The 15405-nt window shown below is 47.1% G+C and overlaps 4 annotated features.

Annotated features, from left to right (window-relative positions):
- Positions 413-588: a silencer, noted in NCBI's record as "fragment chr14:105986957-105987132 (GRCh37/hg19 assembly coordinates)". NCBI's record gives its function as "represses an EF-1alpha promoter that drives an FKBP-Casp9 reporter gene in an ReSE screen in K562 erythroleukemia cells {active_cell/tissue: K562}" and the evidence as "EXISTENCE:reporter gene assay evidence [ECO:0000049][PMID:32094911]".
- Positions 8785-9284: an enhancer, noted in NCBI's record as "H3K4me1 hESC enhancer chr14:105978261-105978760 (GRCh37/hg19 assembly coordinates)". NCBI's record gives its function as "activates a minimal SCP1, AML or CMV promoter by ChIP-STARR-seq in naive H9 embryonic stem cells {active_cell/tissue: H9 hESC(naive)}" and the evidence as "EXISTENCE:reporter gene assay evidence [ECO:0000049][PMID:30033119]".
- Positions 12449-12948: an enhancer, noted in NCBI's record as "H3K4me1 hESC enhancer chr14:105974597-105975096 (GRCh37/hg19 assembly coordinates)". NCBI's record gives its function as "activates a minimal SCP1, AML or CMV promoter by ChIP-STARR-seq in primed H9 embryonic stem cells {active_cell/tissue: H9 hESC(primed)}" and the evidence as "EXISTENCE:reporter gene assay evidence [ECO:0000049][PMID:30033119]".
- Positions 12949-13450: an enhancer, noted in NCBI's record as "H3K4me1 hESC enhancer chr14:105974095-105974596 (GRCh37/hg19 assembly coordinates)". NCBI's record gives its function as "activates a minimal SCP1, AML or CMV promoter by ChIP-STARR-seq in primed H9 embryonic stem cells {active_cell/tissue: H9 hESC(primed)}" and the evidence as "EXISTENCE:reporter gene assay evidence [ECO:0000049][PMID:30033119]".

Below are 15405 nucleotides of genomic sequence, written 5' to 3'. Positions count from 1 at the left end.
CTTTCACACCCACCCAGACCCAGTAGCATTCGCCCCCCTTTCACACCCACCCAGACCCAGTAGCATTCGCCCCCCTTTCACACCCACCCAGACCCAGTAGCATTCGCCCCCTTTCACACCCACCCAGACCCAGTAGCATTCGCCCCCCTTTCACACCCACCCAGAGCCAGTAGCATTCGCCCCCCTTTCACACCCACCCAGAGCCAGTAGCATTCGCCCCCTTTCACACCCACCCAGAGCCAGTAGCATTCGCCCCCTTTCACACCCACCCAGAGCCAGTAGCATTCGCCCCCCTTTCACACCCACCCAGAGCCAGTAGCATTCGCCCCCTTTCACACCCACCCAGAGCCAGTAGCATTCGCCCCCCTTTCACACCCACCCAGAGCCAGTAGCATTCGCCCCCTTTCACACCCACCCAGAGCCAGTAGCATTCGCCCCCCTTTCACACCCACCCAGAGCCAGTAGCATTCGCCCCCCTTTCACACCCACCCAGAGCCAGTAGCATTCGCCCCCCTTTCACACCCAATTTCTCCCCAGTTTTCCCAGCCCCTGGCAACCAATAATCTACTTTCTGTCTCCACAGATTTGCCTTTTCTGGACGTTTCATATAAATGGGACCATACCATATGCGGTCATCTGTGACTGGCTTATTTTGCTAAATGTGTTCAAGGCGCATTCATGTTGCAGCATGCATCACTACTTCCTTCCTTTTTATTGCCAAATAATATTCCATGCTCTTATTATCTCTTTATCAGTTGATGGACATCTTTTGGCTTTGTTTCCACCTTTTGGCCATTATGGATGTGGCTATGAACACTTCAGTACAAACTCTTATGTGGACCTGTGTTTATTTCTCTTAGGTGTCCGTCGAGGGGTGGAATGGCCGGGTCATACGGTAACTCTGTGTTTAACATTTTGGGGAAGCGTCGACTCTTTTTCAGATCATTTTACGTTTCCATCAGCAATATGTGAGGATTCCAATTTCTTCACACCCTTGCCAGCACTTGTTATTATCAACATGTTTAATCATAGCCATCGTGGCAGGTGTGAAATGTTGCCTCACTGTGCCTCTGATTTGCATGTCCCTGATGGCTAAGGACACCAGGCACTGGTCGTGTGTTTAGTGGCCATTTGCATATCTCCTTTGGAGAAATGTCTGTTCAAATCCTTCGCACGTTTTTCCATTGGGTTATTTATCCTTTTACTGTTCCACTCTAAGAGTTCCTTATATATTCTGGATACAATTCTCTTATCAGATATGTGATTTGCAAATACTTTCTCCCATTTTCTGAGTTGTCTTTTCAACTTTTTTTTTTTTTTTTTTTTTTTGAGACAGAGTCGTGCTCTGTCACCCAGGCTGGAGTGCTGTAGCACAATCTCAGCTCACTACAACCTCTGCTTCCGAGGTTCAAGCAATTCTCGTGCCTCAGCCTCCCAAGTAGCTGGGAATACAGTCACACGCCACCACACCCAGCTAATTTTTTGTGTTTTTAGTAGAGATGGGGTTTCACCATGTTGCCCAGGCTGGTCTTGAACGCCTGAGCTCAAGCAATCTGCCCACCTCAGCCTCCCAAAGTGCTAGGATTACAGGCATGAGCCACTGTGCTTGGCCATTTTGTTTTCTTTTCTTTTTTTTTTTTTTTTTTGAGACAGAGTCTTGCTCTGTCACCCAGGCTGGAGTGCAGTGGTGAGATCTCGGCTTACTGCAACCTCCGCCTCCTGTATTCAAGTGATTCTCCTGCCTCGGCCTCCTGAGTAGCTGGAATTACAGTCACGTGCCACCACGCCCAGCTAATTTTTGTAATTTTAGTAGAGACGGAGTTTCACCATGTTGGCCAGGCTGGTCTCAAACTCCTGACCTCAGACGATCCATGTGCCTAAGCCCCCCAAAGTGATCCATGTGCCAAAGCCCCCGAAAGTGCTGGGATTACAGGCGTGAGCCACCACGCCCAGCCTCAACTTTTTTTTTGAGACAGGGTCTCTCTCTGTCGCTCAGGCTGGAGTGCAGTGGCACAATGACAGCTCACCAGGGCCTTGATCTCCCAGGCTCAAGTGACCTTCCCACCTCAACCTCCTGAGTAGCTGGAACTACAGGTGCGCACCACCATGGCTGGCTAATTTTTTAATTTTTTGTAGAGACATGGTCTTGCTACTCTCGTTTCCCAGGCTGGCCTTGAACGCGTGGGCTCAATTGATCCTCCCACCTTGACCTCGCAAAGTGCTGGTATTACAGGCGTGATCCTTACCCACCCAACGTTTTTTATGGAGTCCCAAAGCACAGAAACTTTTTTTTTTTTTTGAGACAGTCTCGCTTTATTGCCCAGGCTGGAGTACAGTGGTGTGATCTCAGCTCACTGCAACCTCCACTTCCCAAGTTCAAGCAATTATCCTGCCTCAGCTTCCCGAATAGCTGGGATTACAGGTGCACACCACCACACTCGGCTAACTTTTCCTATTTTTAGTAGAGATATGGCTTCACCATGTTGGCGAGTCTGGTCTCGAACTCCTGACTTCGTGATCTGCCCACCTCAGTCTCCCAAAGTGCTGGGATTACAGGCACGAGCCACTGTGCCCGGCCAGAAACCTCTAATTTTAATTAAACCCGATTTATCTATCTTTTATTTTGTTGCTTGTGCTTTTCTGTGTCCTAAGAAGCTTTTGCATAATCCAAGGTCACAAAGATTTTCTCCTCTGTTTTCTTCTAGAAGTGTTATAGTTTTAGGTTTTACATTTAGGTGTATGATGCATTTTTAGTTACATTTTATGTCTGTTTTAAGGAAGGGATCTGCTATGGGCTAAATCATGGCTCCCAGAAAGATATGTTTCAGTCCTACCCTGATACCTGCCAACGTGACCTTATTTGGAAATAGGATCTTTGTAGGTATCATCTAGTTAAGTTGAGATCACACTGGATTAGGGTGGGCCTACATCCAATGTCTGTGTCCTTATAAGGAGAGAGGAAAGAAGACTGTATGAGGACAGGGACAGAGGTTGGAGGGAGGCAGCTGCAAGCTGAGAGTTGCTGGCAAGGTTACTGAAACACCAGGGTTTCATTCCAGGTCCTGCTGCTTGCTGCAAAGAAAGCCAATCACTGAGATGCCAAGTATGGCCAAGGAAGAAGGCTTTAATTGGGTGCTGAGCAGAGGAGATGGGAGCTCAGTCCCAAATCCATCTCCTGACTCACTAAAACCAGGGGTTTATATAGCAGGGGAAGAAATGTAACAACGTGTAAGAAAACAAGAACTAGAGAGGTGCAATGTATTACTCGTTTTCATGCTGCTGATAAAGATCTACCCCAAACTGGGAACAAAAAAAGATTTCATTGGACTTACAGTTCCACATGGCTGGGGAGTTCTCAGAATCATGGCAGGAGGTGAGAGGCACTTCTTACATGGCAGCGGCAAGAGAAAATGAGAGAGAAGCAAAAGCAGAAACCCCTAATAAACCATCAGATCTCATGAGACTTATTCACTATCAAGAGAATAGCACGGGAAAGACTGGCCCCCATGATTCAATTATCTCCCCCTGGTTCCCTCCCACAACACGTGGGAATTCTGGGAGATACAATTCAAGTTGAGATTTGGGTGAGGACACAGCCAAACCATGTCAGGCAAGGAAGCAATCATGATGAATGAGGGGTCCAGCATCTGTGCCTTGGTCTGGGTAGTTTCAGTTCTTTGATACTTTTCTGAGAGGCCTGAAGGTCCTTTGCTGAGGAAGAAATTCAGATAAAACAAAAGTTTCAAGCTTTAAGACCAGAAGGGTCCATTTCTGTGTTTTCAAAAAGAACAGTCTGTAGGACTATTGGGTCAGTTTCAGCAACACCAGTCCTGCAGACACCTTGATCTTGGGCTTCTAGCTTCCAGAGCGTGGGAGAAGGAATTCCTGTGGTTGACGCTGTCCCGTTTGCAGTGCTTTGTTAGGGCAGCCCTGGGGCACAGACACAGGGTCTAGCTTCCTGCTTAGGCATATCCAGTGCTCCCAGCACCATTTGTTAAAAAGACGATTCTTTCCCATTTAATGGTCTTGACATCCTTTTCAAAAATTGACTGGCCATAAAAACGTAAAGGTTTATTTCTGGATTCTCCACTCTGTTCCAGTAATCTGTAAGTCTGTCCTTCTGTGAGCCCCTCATTATCTTGATTTCTGCGGCTTTGTAATAAGTGTTGACATTGGGAAGTGTGGATACTCCAACTGTTTTCTTCAAGACTGTTTTGGGGCCAGGCGTGGTAGCTCACGCCTGTAATCTCAGCACTTTGGGAGGCCGAGGCGGGTGGATCACTTGAGGCCAGGAGTTCGAGACCAGCCTGGCCAACATGGTGAAACCCCATCTCTACTAAAAATAGAAAAATGAGTTGAGTGTGGTGGTGGGTCCTGTAATCCCAGCTACTTGGGAGGCTGAGGCATGAGAATAGCTTGAACCCAGGAGGCAGAGGTTGAGGTGAGCTGAGATCTCGCCACTGCACTCCAGCCTGGGTGACAGAGCCAGACTCCATCTCAAAACAAAACAAAACAAAAGACTGTTTAGTCCGCCCTGGATCCCTTGCATTTCCCTATGAATTTCAGAATCAGCTTGTCAATTTCTGCAACAACAAACAAAGAAGCCGTGTGCGGTTTTGATACTAGGGATTGCACTGAGTCTGCAGGTCAGTTTGTGATTAACATAGGATGTCTTTACATTTACTTTAGTTCGGTCTTCTTTAATTTCTTTCAACAATGTTTTGTCGTCTTCAAAACACGTGTTTTACAGTCTGGTTTTTTGTTTGTTTTTTTTTTTTTTTGCATAGAAAAATACACCACGCGTTGCCAACGTTTTACACTTCTTTTGTAAAATTTATTTCTAAGCGTTTAATTCTTTTCGACTCTGCTATAAATGGATTTTTTTACTTTATTTCAGTTGCTTGTGGCTAGTGCATAGAAATAAGTGGATTTTCTGCACATCGATCACAAGATTCTGCAACCTTGCTGAATTTCTTTATTAGTGCTAATATTTTTAGTTCATTTCTGAGGATTTCCTATATATAGTATTATATCATCCCCAGACAGAGAAGTTTTACTTCTTCCTTTCTGATCTAGATGTCTTTTATTTCTTTATCTTGCCAAATTGCCTTGACTAGAGCCTCCAGTACAATGTTGAATAAAAGTGGTGACAGTAGATATCCTTGTCTTGTTTTTGATCCCAGGGGAAGAGCATCCTGCCTTTTACCATTAAGGAGAATGTTAGCTGTGGGGCCTAGCAGATCTCTTTCATCAGATTAAGGAAGTTCCCTTCTATTCCTAGCTTTTCGAAAGTGGTAATTAATTTTTAACTAAAGTGCAAAAGTGATTCGACATTGGAAAGATAGTATTTTCACCAAATTAGACACGTGTGTGGGAAAAAAGAAAGGATCCTCAACCTAGACCTTCATTCCTTATGCAAAAATTAACTCAAGATGATCACAGGTCTAAATGTCAAGTGTAAAGCTACAAAACCTTTAGAAGAAAAAAACAGAAAAAATTTTCACAACCTGGGCCAAGGCTAAAAATATTCTTAGACACAACAACAAAAGCTCAATCCATAAAAGATAAATTGATAAATTGGATTTCATCAAAATTTAAACCTTTTTTTCTATGTAAAAGTCACTGTTAAGAGGATGAAAAGACAAATTATATACTGGGAGAAAGTATTTGTGTATTAGTCCGTACTCATGCTGCTATGAAGAAATACCCAAGACTGAGCCCAGGTGCAGTGGCTCACGCCTGTAATCCCCAGGACTTTGGGAGGCTGAAGTGGGTGAATCACCCGAGGTCAGGAGTTCAAGACCAGCCTGGCCAACATGGTGAGACCCTGTCTCTACTAAAAAATACAAAAATAAGCTGGGCATGGTGGCAGGGGCCTGTAATCCCAGCTACTCAGGAGACTGAGGCAGAGGAATCACTTGAACCAGGGAGGCAGAGATTGCGGTGAGCCAAGATCATGCCATTGCACTCCAGCCTGGGCAATAAGAGCGAAACTCCATCTCAAAAAAAAAAAAAAAGAAGTAACCAAGACTGGGTAATTTATAAAAGAAAAAGGTTTAATTGACTCACAGTTCCACATGCCTGGGGAGGCGTCAGGAGACTTAGAATCATGGCGGAAGGGGAAGCAACACGTCCTTCTTCACATGGCATCAGGAGAAAAAAGTGCTGAACAAAGGGTGAAAAGCCCTTTGTAAAACCATCAGATCTCGTGAGAACTCACTCACTACCAAGAGAAGAGTAGCATGGGGGTAACCACCCCCATGATTCAGTTACCTCACACTGGGTCCCTCCCACAACAGGTGGGGATTATGGGAACTACAATTCAAGATGAGATTTGGGTGGGGACACTGCCAAACCATATCAACTTATAAATCATGTATCAAACAAAAGACTTGTTTGCAGAATATATATATATATAATGTGTAATGTATATTAACATCTAATGTACATATTTATATATTTAACTTTTATTTTATGTTCAGGAGTACATGTGCAGGTTTGTTATATAGGTTAACTTGTGTCATAGGGGGTTGTTGTACAGATTATTTCATCACCCAGGTACTAAGCCTTTGTACTCATTAGTTATTTTACCTGATCCTCTCCCTCCTCCAACTCTCCACCCTCCAATAGGCCAGTGTCAGTTGTTCCCCTCTATGTGTCCATATGTTCTCATCATTTAGCTCCCACTTACAGGTGAGAACATGAATTTGGGTTTCTGTTCCTGCATTAGCTTGCTAAGGATAATGGCCCTCAGCTCCATCCACGTTCCTGCAAAGGACATGATCTCATTCTTTTTTATGGCTTCATAGTATTCCATAGTGTATATGTATCACATTTTCCATCCAGTCTATCATTGATGGGCATTCAGGTTGATTCTATGAGTTTGCTATCGTGAATAGCGGTGCATGTGTCTTTATGATATTACAATTTATATTCCTTTGGGTATATATCTAGTAACGGGATTTTCTGGATAGAATGGGAGTTCTGTTTTTAGGTCTTGGAGGAATCACCACATTGTTTTCCACAATGGTTGAACTAATTTACACTCCCACCAACAGTATATAAGTGTTCCTTTTTCTCCACAACTTCACCAGCACCTGTTAGTTTTTTACTTTTTTTTTTTTTTTTTTTTAGAGACAGAGTCTCACCCTGTCACCCAGGAGAGAGTGCAACGGCGCAATCTTGGCTCACAGCAACCTCCACCTCCCCAGTTCAAGCAATTCTCCTGCCTCTGCTTCACGAGTAGCTGGGATTACAGAAGCACGCCACCACGCCTGGCTAATTTTTTGTATCTTTTGTAGAGATGGGATTTCTCCATGTTGGCCAAGCTGGTCTCAAACTCCTGACCTCGTGATCTGCCCGCCTTAGCCTTCCGAAGTGCTGGGATTACGGTGTGAACCACCATGCCCAGCCTACATATTTTTTTAACTCTTAACATCGGCAATAAGGCCAAGCACAGTGGCTCATGCCTGTAATCTCAGTGCTTTGGAAGGCCGAGTCAGGAGGATCACTTGAGGCCAGGAGTTCGAGGCTGCAGTGAGCTATGTTGATGCCACTGCATTCCACCCTGGGAGACAGAACAAAACCCTGTCTCTAAAAATAAAAAATAAAAAAAAAATCTGCAGTAAATACAATAATCTAAAAATCGGCAAAGGACTTGAACAGACATTTCACCAAACAGGATACATGGATGCAAATCGGCACATGAGGAGTTCCATGCAGATTTAAACAGTGATGAGGTTCCCGTGCACACCTATTAGATGGCTAGGAGTTGATAGTTGTGTGAGGTTATGGGTTATGTGGAGGTTCCTAGTAAGATGGTAGATTTAAACCCAAATAGATTAGTGATTATAAATCAATTAGAAGAGTCCATCATAAGACAAATATATTCTGTTTCTGCAACTTACATTTACAATACATATACAGAAAGGTTGAAAATAAGAGAACAGGCCAGGCACGGTGGCTCACGCCTGTAATCCCAGCACTTTGGGAGGCCGAGGCAGGGGGAACACTTGAGGTCAGGAGTTTGAGACCAGCTGACCCTGGGTGCTGGACGTGCTCACTGCTGCCCGGCTGCCGCCGCTCAGGCTGTCTTTGCAGGCATGCGCACACCTGTGTTTCCACACCCATCCCTCTCCCAGGCCGTCAATGATTTAACCACAAGTTCATGCCAGTCCACAGGGCTTATTCCTAAATCCCCACTTTCCTGATGTGTAACCACCACTTACAGTCAGAGTCTCGCTCCCTCATCCTCAATCTCCCTATTTATTGTTCCATTCCGAATGCCTCCTCTGCCCATGCTAGGTGTGCTATTGAAAGCTCAGCCCCAAAGAAAGGAAAAGGGGAGGGCTTGGGCAACACGAGGAAAAAGCCAGCTGGAAAGCTGTGCCTTGGACACAGCAGACAGACTGCTGGCCCTTGGCTGAAGGTGACCCCTAAATACGCGTCCACATCCTAACCCCCAGAGCCCGGGAATGCACCCTTATTTGGAATAAGAGTCTTGGCAGATGTGATTAAGGATCTCGAGAGCAGGAGATCATCCTGCATTATCGAGTGGACCCTATATCCAATGACAACTGTCCTTATAAGACAGAGACATGGCCAGGTGTGGTGGCTCATGCCTGTAATCCCAACATTTTGGGATTACTGGAGCCCAGCCTGGGCAACATAACGAGACCTCCCCCCCATCTCCAAAAAAAATAGAAAAAAATTAGCTGGGCATGGTGGCACACACCTGTAGTCTCAGCTACTCGAGAGGCTGAGGTGGGAGGATCGCTTGAGCCCAGGGAGGTCGAGGCTGCAGTGAGCCATGATTGCACCACTTCACTCCAGCCTGGGTGACAGAGTGAGACCCTGTCTCCAAAAAATCTTTAAAGATAGAATGGCAGGACACACTACAAAGTCACCAGACCCAGCTGTAGGGCTGCACTGGCTGCCTCCGGGACTATGTGAGCATCACATAAATAATGAGAATAATGCATCATAACCCTCTGAGTAAAATAGGCACACACAAGTCCAAGCTGATGTGAATAAGCAGAGGGAGGGAAAGCTGCAGCTGGCAGCAGGCTCACTGAGGCATCCAGAAGGGAAGTGGACTCCGCCCTTCAGCCACATCACAGTCCTCACCTAGTTGGGCCAGAGTCTCAGGGTGCCCCTCAGAGGGTGAGCATGGGATTAGGACCAGGACACCCGGTCGGGTGGGAGTCTCGGGGCGCCCCGCGGAGGGCGCCCGTGGGAATTGGACCAGGACACTGACATCGCATTGGAGCATCACCCTCATACAATACTCAGGAATTATGCCGTAGTTAGCAACACATTTCACATTAACCTCACGGTGGAGGAGCGAGCGGTTGCCACTCTGACTAAGGGAGAGAGGTGGGTGGCACCCGCAGCAGGGCCCAGAGAGCCACACCCTCCTGAGCGAATGCCCTGAGGCTGACACAGCTCCATTCCCATACGTCCATCACACGCGTGTGTGTGTGTGTGTGTGTGTGTGTGTGTGTGTGTAGAGAATGGTCAGGTGAAATGTTAACAATTGAGGAATCTGTGTGAAGACATATAGGAGCTATGGTACCACTGTAGTATTTTTGTTGTTTGTTTTTTCTTTTTGTTTTGTTTGTTTGTTTTTGTGACAGGGTGTCACTCTGTCGCCCAGACCCAGAGTGCAGTGGTGCAATCTTGGCTCACTGCAATCTTCGCCTCCCAGGTTGAAGCAATTCTCTTGCCTCAGCCTCCAGCTCCCGAGTAAATGGGATTACAGGCACCCACCACCATGTCCAGCTAATTTTTGTATTTTTAGAAGAGGCAGGGATTCACCATGTTCAGCTAATTTTTGTATTTTTAGAAGAGGCAGGGTTTCACCATGTTGGTCAGGCTGGTCTCGAACTCCTGACCTCAGATGATCCACCTGCCTCGGCCTCCCAAACTGCTGAGATTACAGGCGTGAGCCACGGCGCCCAGCCACTACTGTAATTTTTTTATTTGAAATGATTTTTTAATAAAAGGTTTTCTAAAATCAATAAATGTAAGTCTTCACATTAACAGATTAAAGAAAAAAATGACCATATCAGTAGGTGCAAAAAAGGCATTTAGTAGATTCAATAGCTGTTCATGACTTCCTAAAACAGCTCTCAGTAGACGGAGAATGGAAGGGAGCTCTCCTTAATCTAATTAAGTACATCTACAGGAATCTGCTTTGCAAACAGCAATCTTCGTAGTGCAGAACTAGAACACTCTCTTCCAGCCAGAAGCAGACAGAGACGCTGCAGCCGCCTGGGCTGCTCAGCCCCTACTAGAAACACCAGGAAAACAGGGTGCTTCTTTCAGGAAGCAAGAAAAAGAAATAAGAATGGGGGATTTTAAGCTGGGCATGGTGGCTCACGCCTGTAATCCCAACACTTTGGGAGGTCGAGGCGGGCAGATCACGAGGTCAGGAGATCGAGACCATCCTGGCTAACACAGAGAAACCCCGTGTCTTTTAAAAATACAAAAATTAGGTGGGTGTGGTGGAGCGTGCCTGTAGTCCCAGCTGCTCAGGAGGCTGAGGCAGGAGAATGGTTTGAACCTGGGAGGCGGAGGTTGCAGTAAGCCGAGATCACGCCACTGCACTCCAGCCTGGGCAACAGAGCAAGACTCTGTCTCAAAAAAAAAAAAAAAAAAAAAGATTTGGAGATGTTTAAAATGAAACTATCATTAGTTTGTTTGTCTGTTTTGTTTTGTTTTGGTTTGGTTTGGTTTTTTGAGACAGAGTCTCGCACTGTTGCCCAGACTGGAGTACAGTGGCGCGATCTTGGCTCACTGCAACCTCTGCCTCCCGGGTTCCAGTGATTCTCCTGCCTCAGCCTCCCTAGTAGGTGAGATTACAGGCACCCGCCACCACACCCAGCTAATTTTTTTTTTTTTTTGTATTTTTAGTAGAGATGGAGTTTCACCATGTTGGCCAGGCTGGTCTCAAACTCCTGACCTCACGTGAGCCACCTGCCTCAGCCTCGCAAAGTGCTGGGATTACAGGTGTGAGCCATCGTGACTGGTCTTTTTTGTTTGTTTTTAAAGAGAGGGTCTTGCTCTGTGCAAGGTGGAGTGCAGTGGCATGATCATGGCTCACTGCAGTCTCAACCTTACAGGCTCTGACAATCCTCCTGCCTCAGCCTCCAGAGTAGCTGGGAATACAGGTGCACACCACCACATCCTGTTAATTTTTAAATTTTTTGTAGATACGGTGTGTAACAGTGTTGTCTGGGCTGGTCTCAAACTCCTGGCCTCAAGTGATCCTCCCACCTTGGCTTCCCAAAGTGCTGGGATTACAGGCATGAGCCACTATGCCCAGCCTAACCTACGATTAGTTTTTGCAAGTGATATAATTGTGTACTTAGAAAAGTCTTTTAAAATCTAGGCTGGGCACGGTGGCTCTTTGGGAGGCCGAGGCGGGCAGATCACTTGAGGTCAAGAGTTTGAGACCAACCTGGACAACATGGTGAAACCCCATCTCTAGCAAAAAATACAAAATTTACAAAAATTAGCTGGGCGTGGTGGTGGGTGCCTATAGTCCCAGCTTCTCAGGAGGCTGAGGCATGAGAATCGCTTGAACCTGGGAAGCGGAGGCAGAGGTTACAGTCAGCTGAGATCACACCACTGCACTCCAGCCTGGGTGACGGAGTGAGACCCTGTCTCATAAAAAAAAAAAAAAATCCAGAGATAAATTTTTTAGTATTAATAAGTGAGTTTAGCAAGACTCGCTAAACCAGGTCAAAATGCAGAAATCAGTTTCGGGTTTCTACAATTTTCAACAGAGTTAGAAAATGAAATGTAAATATGAAATGGGTGTGGGTGTGTGTGTGTGTATATATATGAGATATCTATATATAAGATATATATATATATCTTACAATATTTCAAAAAGACCAAATACTGAGAAACAAATCTAACAAAAGAAGTATAATACCTATATCCAGGAAACTATAAAACATTAATGAACACCTAACCCACGGAGAAGTGTGTTTGTAAGGCAGAAGAGCCAGCATTAACATTCTAAAGACATCAGTTCTCAAACTGATCTATGGATTCCACGTCATCCCAAGTAAAATCCCAATAGTTCTTTGCCTAATATTCGACAAACGGATTCTACAATGTCTATGAAATATGAGGCGTCGAGAAGAGTCCCAGGGCTCCCGACATAGGCGAGAGTGGACAACACACCCTCCCTGCCCTACATGGAGCCCGAGAGACGGCTGGAGTCATGAACACCATGTGGGCTTCCCAAAGGGAAAGAAGGAAGACCCAAGACGAAGATGGACACCAGGGCGGTACCAAGCGGCACACAGGGTGGCAGGAGAGCAGGGTCTTTTCCACAAGTGGTACTCGGACCCTTTTCACGTGGAAAAAAAAGAGAGTCAAAACTCATTGGCTGGGCACAGTGGCTCATGCCTACAATCCCAGCACTTTGGGACGCCGAGGCAAGAGGACCAGTTGAGCCCAGGAGTTCGAGACCAGCCTGGGCAACGTGGTGAGACCCGCCTCCCCAGTCTCTACAAAAAAATACAAAAATTAGCTGGGTGAGGTGGTGCACACCTGTAGTCCCAGCTACTCAGGAGGCTGAGTTGGGAAGATCCCTTGAGCCTGGGAGGCAGAGGCTGCAGTGGGCTGTGATTGGGCCACTGCACTCCAGCCTAGGCAACAGGAGACCTTATCTCAAAATAAAATAAAAAAAAAAGTTATGTGGCCAAAGCACCCAGCAAGTGTCATACTTCATGGACAAACTTTAGACACCTGCCCTCTGAGACTGAGAACAAGGACGCCCACTGTCACCAGGGCTGCTGAGTGTGCGTCAGCAAGACGGCAAAGGTAAACCCCGACAATCGCAGCCTCCCCCATGCCAGCCTCACACGCACCCCACCCTTCCTATGTATCACAGCCCCCACCGGCTCGGCTACTCTGCTTGAACCCTGATGACATGCAGGGTAATCACGCCATGTGGTATTGGTGAGGAACAGCCTGCTGGATCAGAAGGGAGGTCGGGGCAAGACCCCTGCACGGACAGGAGCCGATGTGGATGACAGCGACAGCGTGGACTGTGAGGAGGGCAGAGCTCCCAGGAGATGGTCTTGGGAAGCGGCTCACCCTATGGAGAAAAACTGGTTTCGACATGAGAGCACCTGCGGAGGTGGGCTGTGGACGAACGGAAGACCTAAGTGCTACAGGGAGAAGTGACAGAAGGAAACTGGGAGAAGGAGGACTGGGAGAGGGAAGCTCGTTTTCACAAAATGCTAAGGTGAAACCAAGAGTCAAAAAAAAAAAAAGACGAATTTGATTATAGCAAAGTTAAAATTTTCTGGGTAACCATAGGCAAATCTTTAACCAGACGACAGAATGGGAGAAGCTATTTATAGTGTGTAAAACCACTGAGAGATCCCTATCTTGAATTTTCAAGGAGTTCCTGCCACTCAATTTGTAAAAGACAGCAGGTCCCAAAAGAAAAACGATCAAAGGGTATGACCAGGCAGCTCACAGAAGAGGAAACCCAGAAACGAAGCAAGTGTGTGAAAGATGCTCACGGTCAATACTCAGAGAGATGGAAATTAGACGCAGAGACCACCTGACGCTCTGCTGGCAAACCCGCAAACGCTAGAAAACGCTGAGGGAGGGAGGGCCGGGACCCAGGAGGTAGGAGCCAGACAGGAGTACGGGCCAGAAAGGCCACTCGGGGAGTCACGGCACGTCCCCGACCAAGGGAAGGACCACAAGCCCTCCTTTTCTGTGGCCTGATCCCTTGGGCCCACCTGAGAGCTGCGTCTTTTGTGTGGCAGGGAGCGGGGGGCAGCCAGGTACCTGTCTGTGGAGAGTGGGTGGGTAGTTGCCTAAATGCTCCCCACTGGACGTGTGCGGGAGTTGGAAGCAGTGAGTCGCTGCAGGCGCACCTTAGAGGATGGAGCTTAAAACACAACAACATTCCATCCTGGCTAACACGGTGAAACCCCGTCTCTACTAAAAATACAAAAAATTAGCCGGGCGTGGTGGTGGGCGCCTGTAGTCCCAGCTACTCGGGAGCCTGAGGCAGGAGAATGGCGTGACCCCGGCAGTTGGAGCTCACAGTGAGCCGAGATCGCGACACTGCACTCCAGCCTGGGTGACAGAGCGAGACTCCGTCTCAAAAAAACAAACAAACAAACAAAAAACACAACAACACTAAGTGGAAAGAAATTATGAAGCCAGGTGCGGTGGCTCATGCTTGTAATCCCAACATTTTGGGAGGCAGAGGCGGGTGGATCACTTGAGGTCAGCCTGGCCAACATGGTGAAACCCCATCTCTACAAAAATACAAAAATTAGCCAGGCATGATGGCGGGTGCCTGTAATCCCAGCTACTGGGGAGGCTGAGGCAGGAGAATCACTTGAACCCAGAAGTCGGAGGTTGCAGTGAGCCAAGATCGTGCCATTGCAGTTCAGCCTGGGCAACAGAGTGAGACTCTGTCTCAAAAAAAAGAAATCACAGGAAAGTTAGGACGAGAGTTCCCAAACTGAGTCACCCCAGGGTGCCATCAAAAGTTTTCGGGGCCACTACAAAGTATTTTAAGGTTCTGAGGGAAATGCAGGGATACACAACACATCCGTTACCTCATGAAAAATTCAAGAGAGCCCAGGCCGGGCGCAGTGGCTCACGCCTGTAATCCCAGCACTTTGAGAGGCCGAGGCAGGCAGATCACCTAAGGTCAGGAGTTCGACACCAGCCTGGCCAACATGGTGAAACCCCGTCTCTACTAAAATCACACACACACAAAAATTAGCCGGGCATGGTGGCCCACGCCTGTAGTCCCAGCTACTTGGGAGGCTGAGGCAAGAGAATCCTTTGAACCCGGGAGGTAGAGGTTGCAGTGAGCTGAGATCGCGCCACTGCACTCCAGCTTGGGGGACAAGAGCAAGGACTCCGTCTCAGCCAGGCGCAGTGGCTCATGCCTGTAATCCCAGCACTTTAGGAGGCCGAGGCGGGCGGATCATGAGGTCACGAGATCGAGACCACCCTGGCTAACATGGTGAAACCCTGACTTTACTAAAAATACAAAAAAAAAATTAGCCGGGCGTGGTGGCGGGCGCCTGTAGTCCCAGCTACTCGGGAGGCTGAGGCAGGAGAATGGTGTGAACCCGGGAGGCAGAGCTTGCAGTGAGCCAAGATTGCGCCACTGCAGTCCAGCCTGGGCGACTGAGCAAGACTCTGTCTCAAAAAAAGACTCCGTCTCAAAAAAAAGAGCCCAGAGTTTCAGCAGTGGGTTGCACCTTCCTTGCGTTGGTGTCTCTTTGCAAAGCTGGTTTCACAGCAGTTGCTGTGAGCAAAAGCAAATACCAGGCAAAAATTAATGTGGATCAGAAATCCAGATGATGATGTCCAATCTAATTAAGGTTTGCAAAAACATGC

Source organism: Homo sapiens, chromosome 14, assembly GCF_000001405.40.
Source record: "Homo sapiens chromosome 14, GRCh38.p14 Primary Assembly".
Classification (NCBI taxonomy): Eukaryota; Metazoa; Chordata; class Mammalia; order Primates; family Hominidae; genus Homo; species Homo sapiens.
The sequence above is the reverse complement of the archived record's forward strand: the minus strand, read 5'-3'. Positions and strand labels throughout refer to the sequence as shown.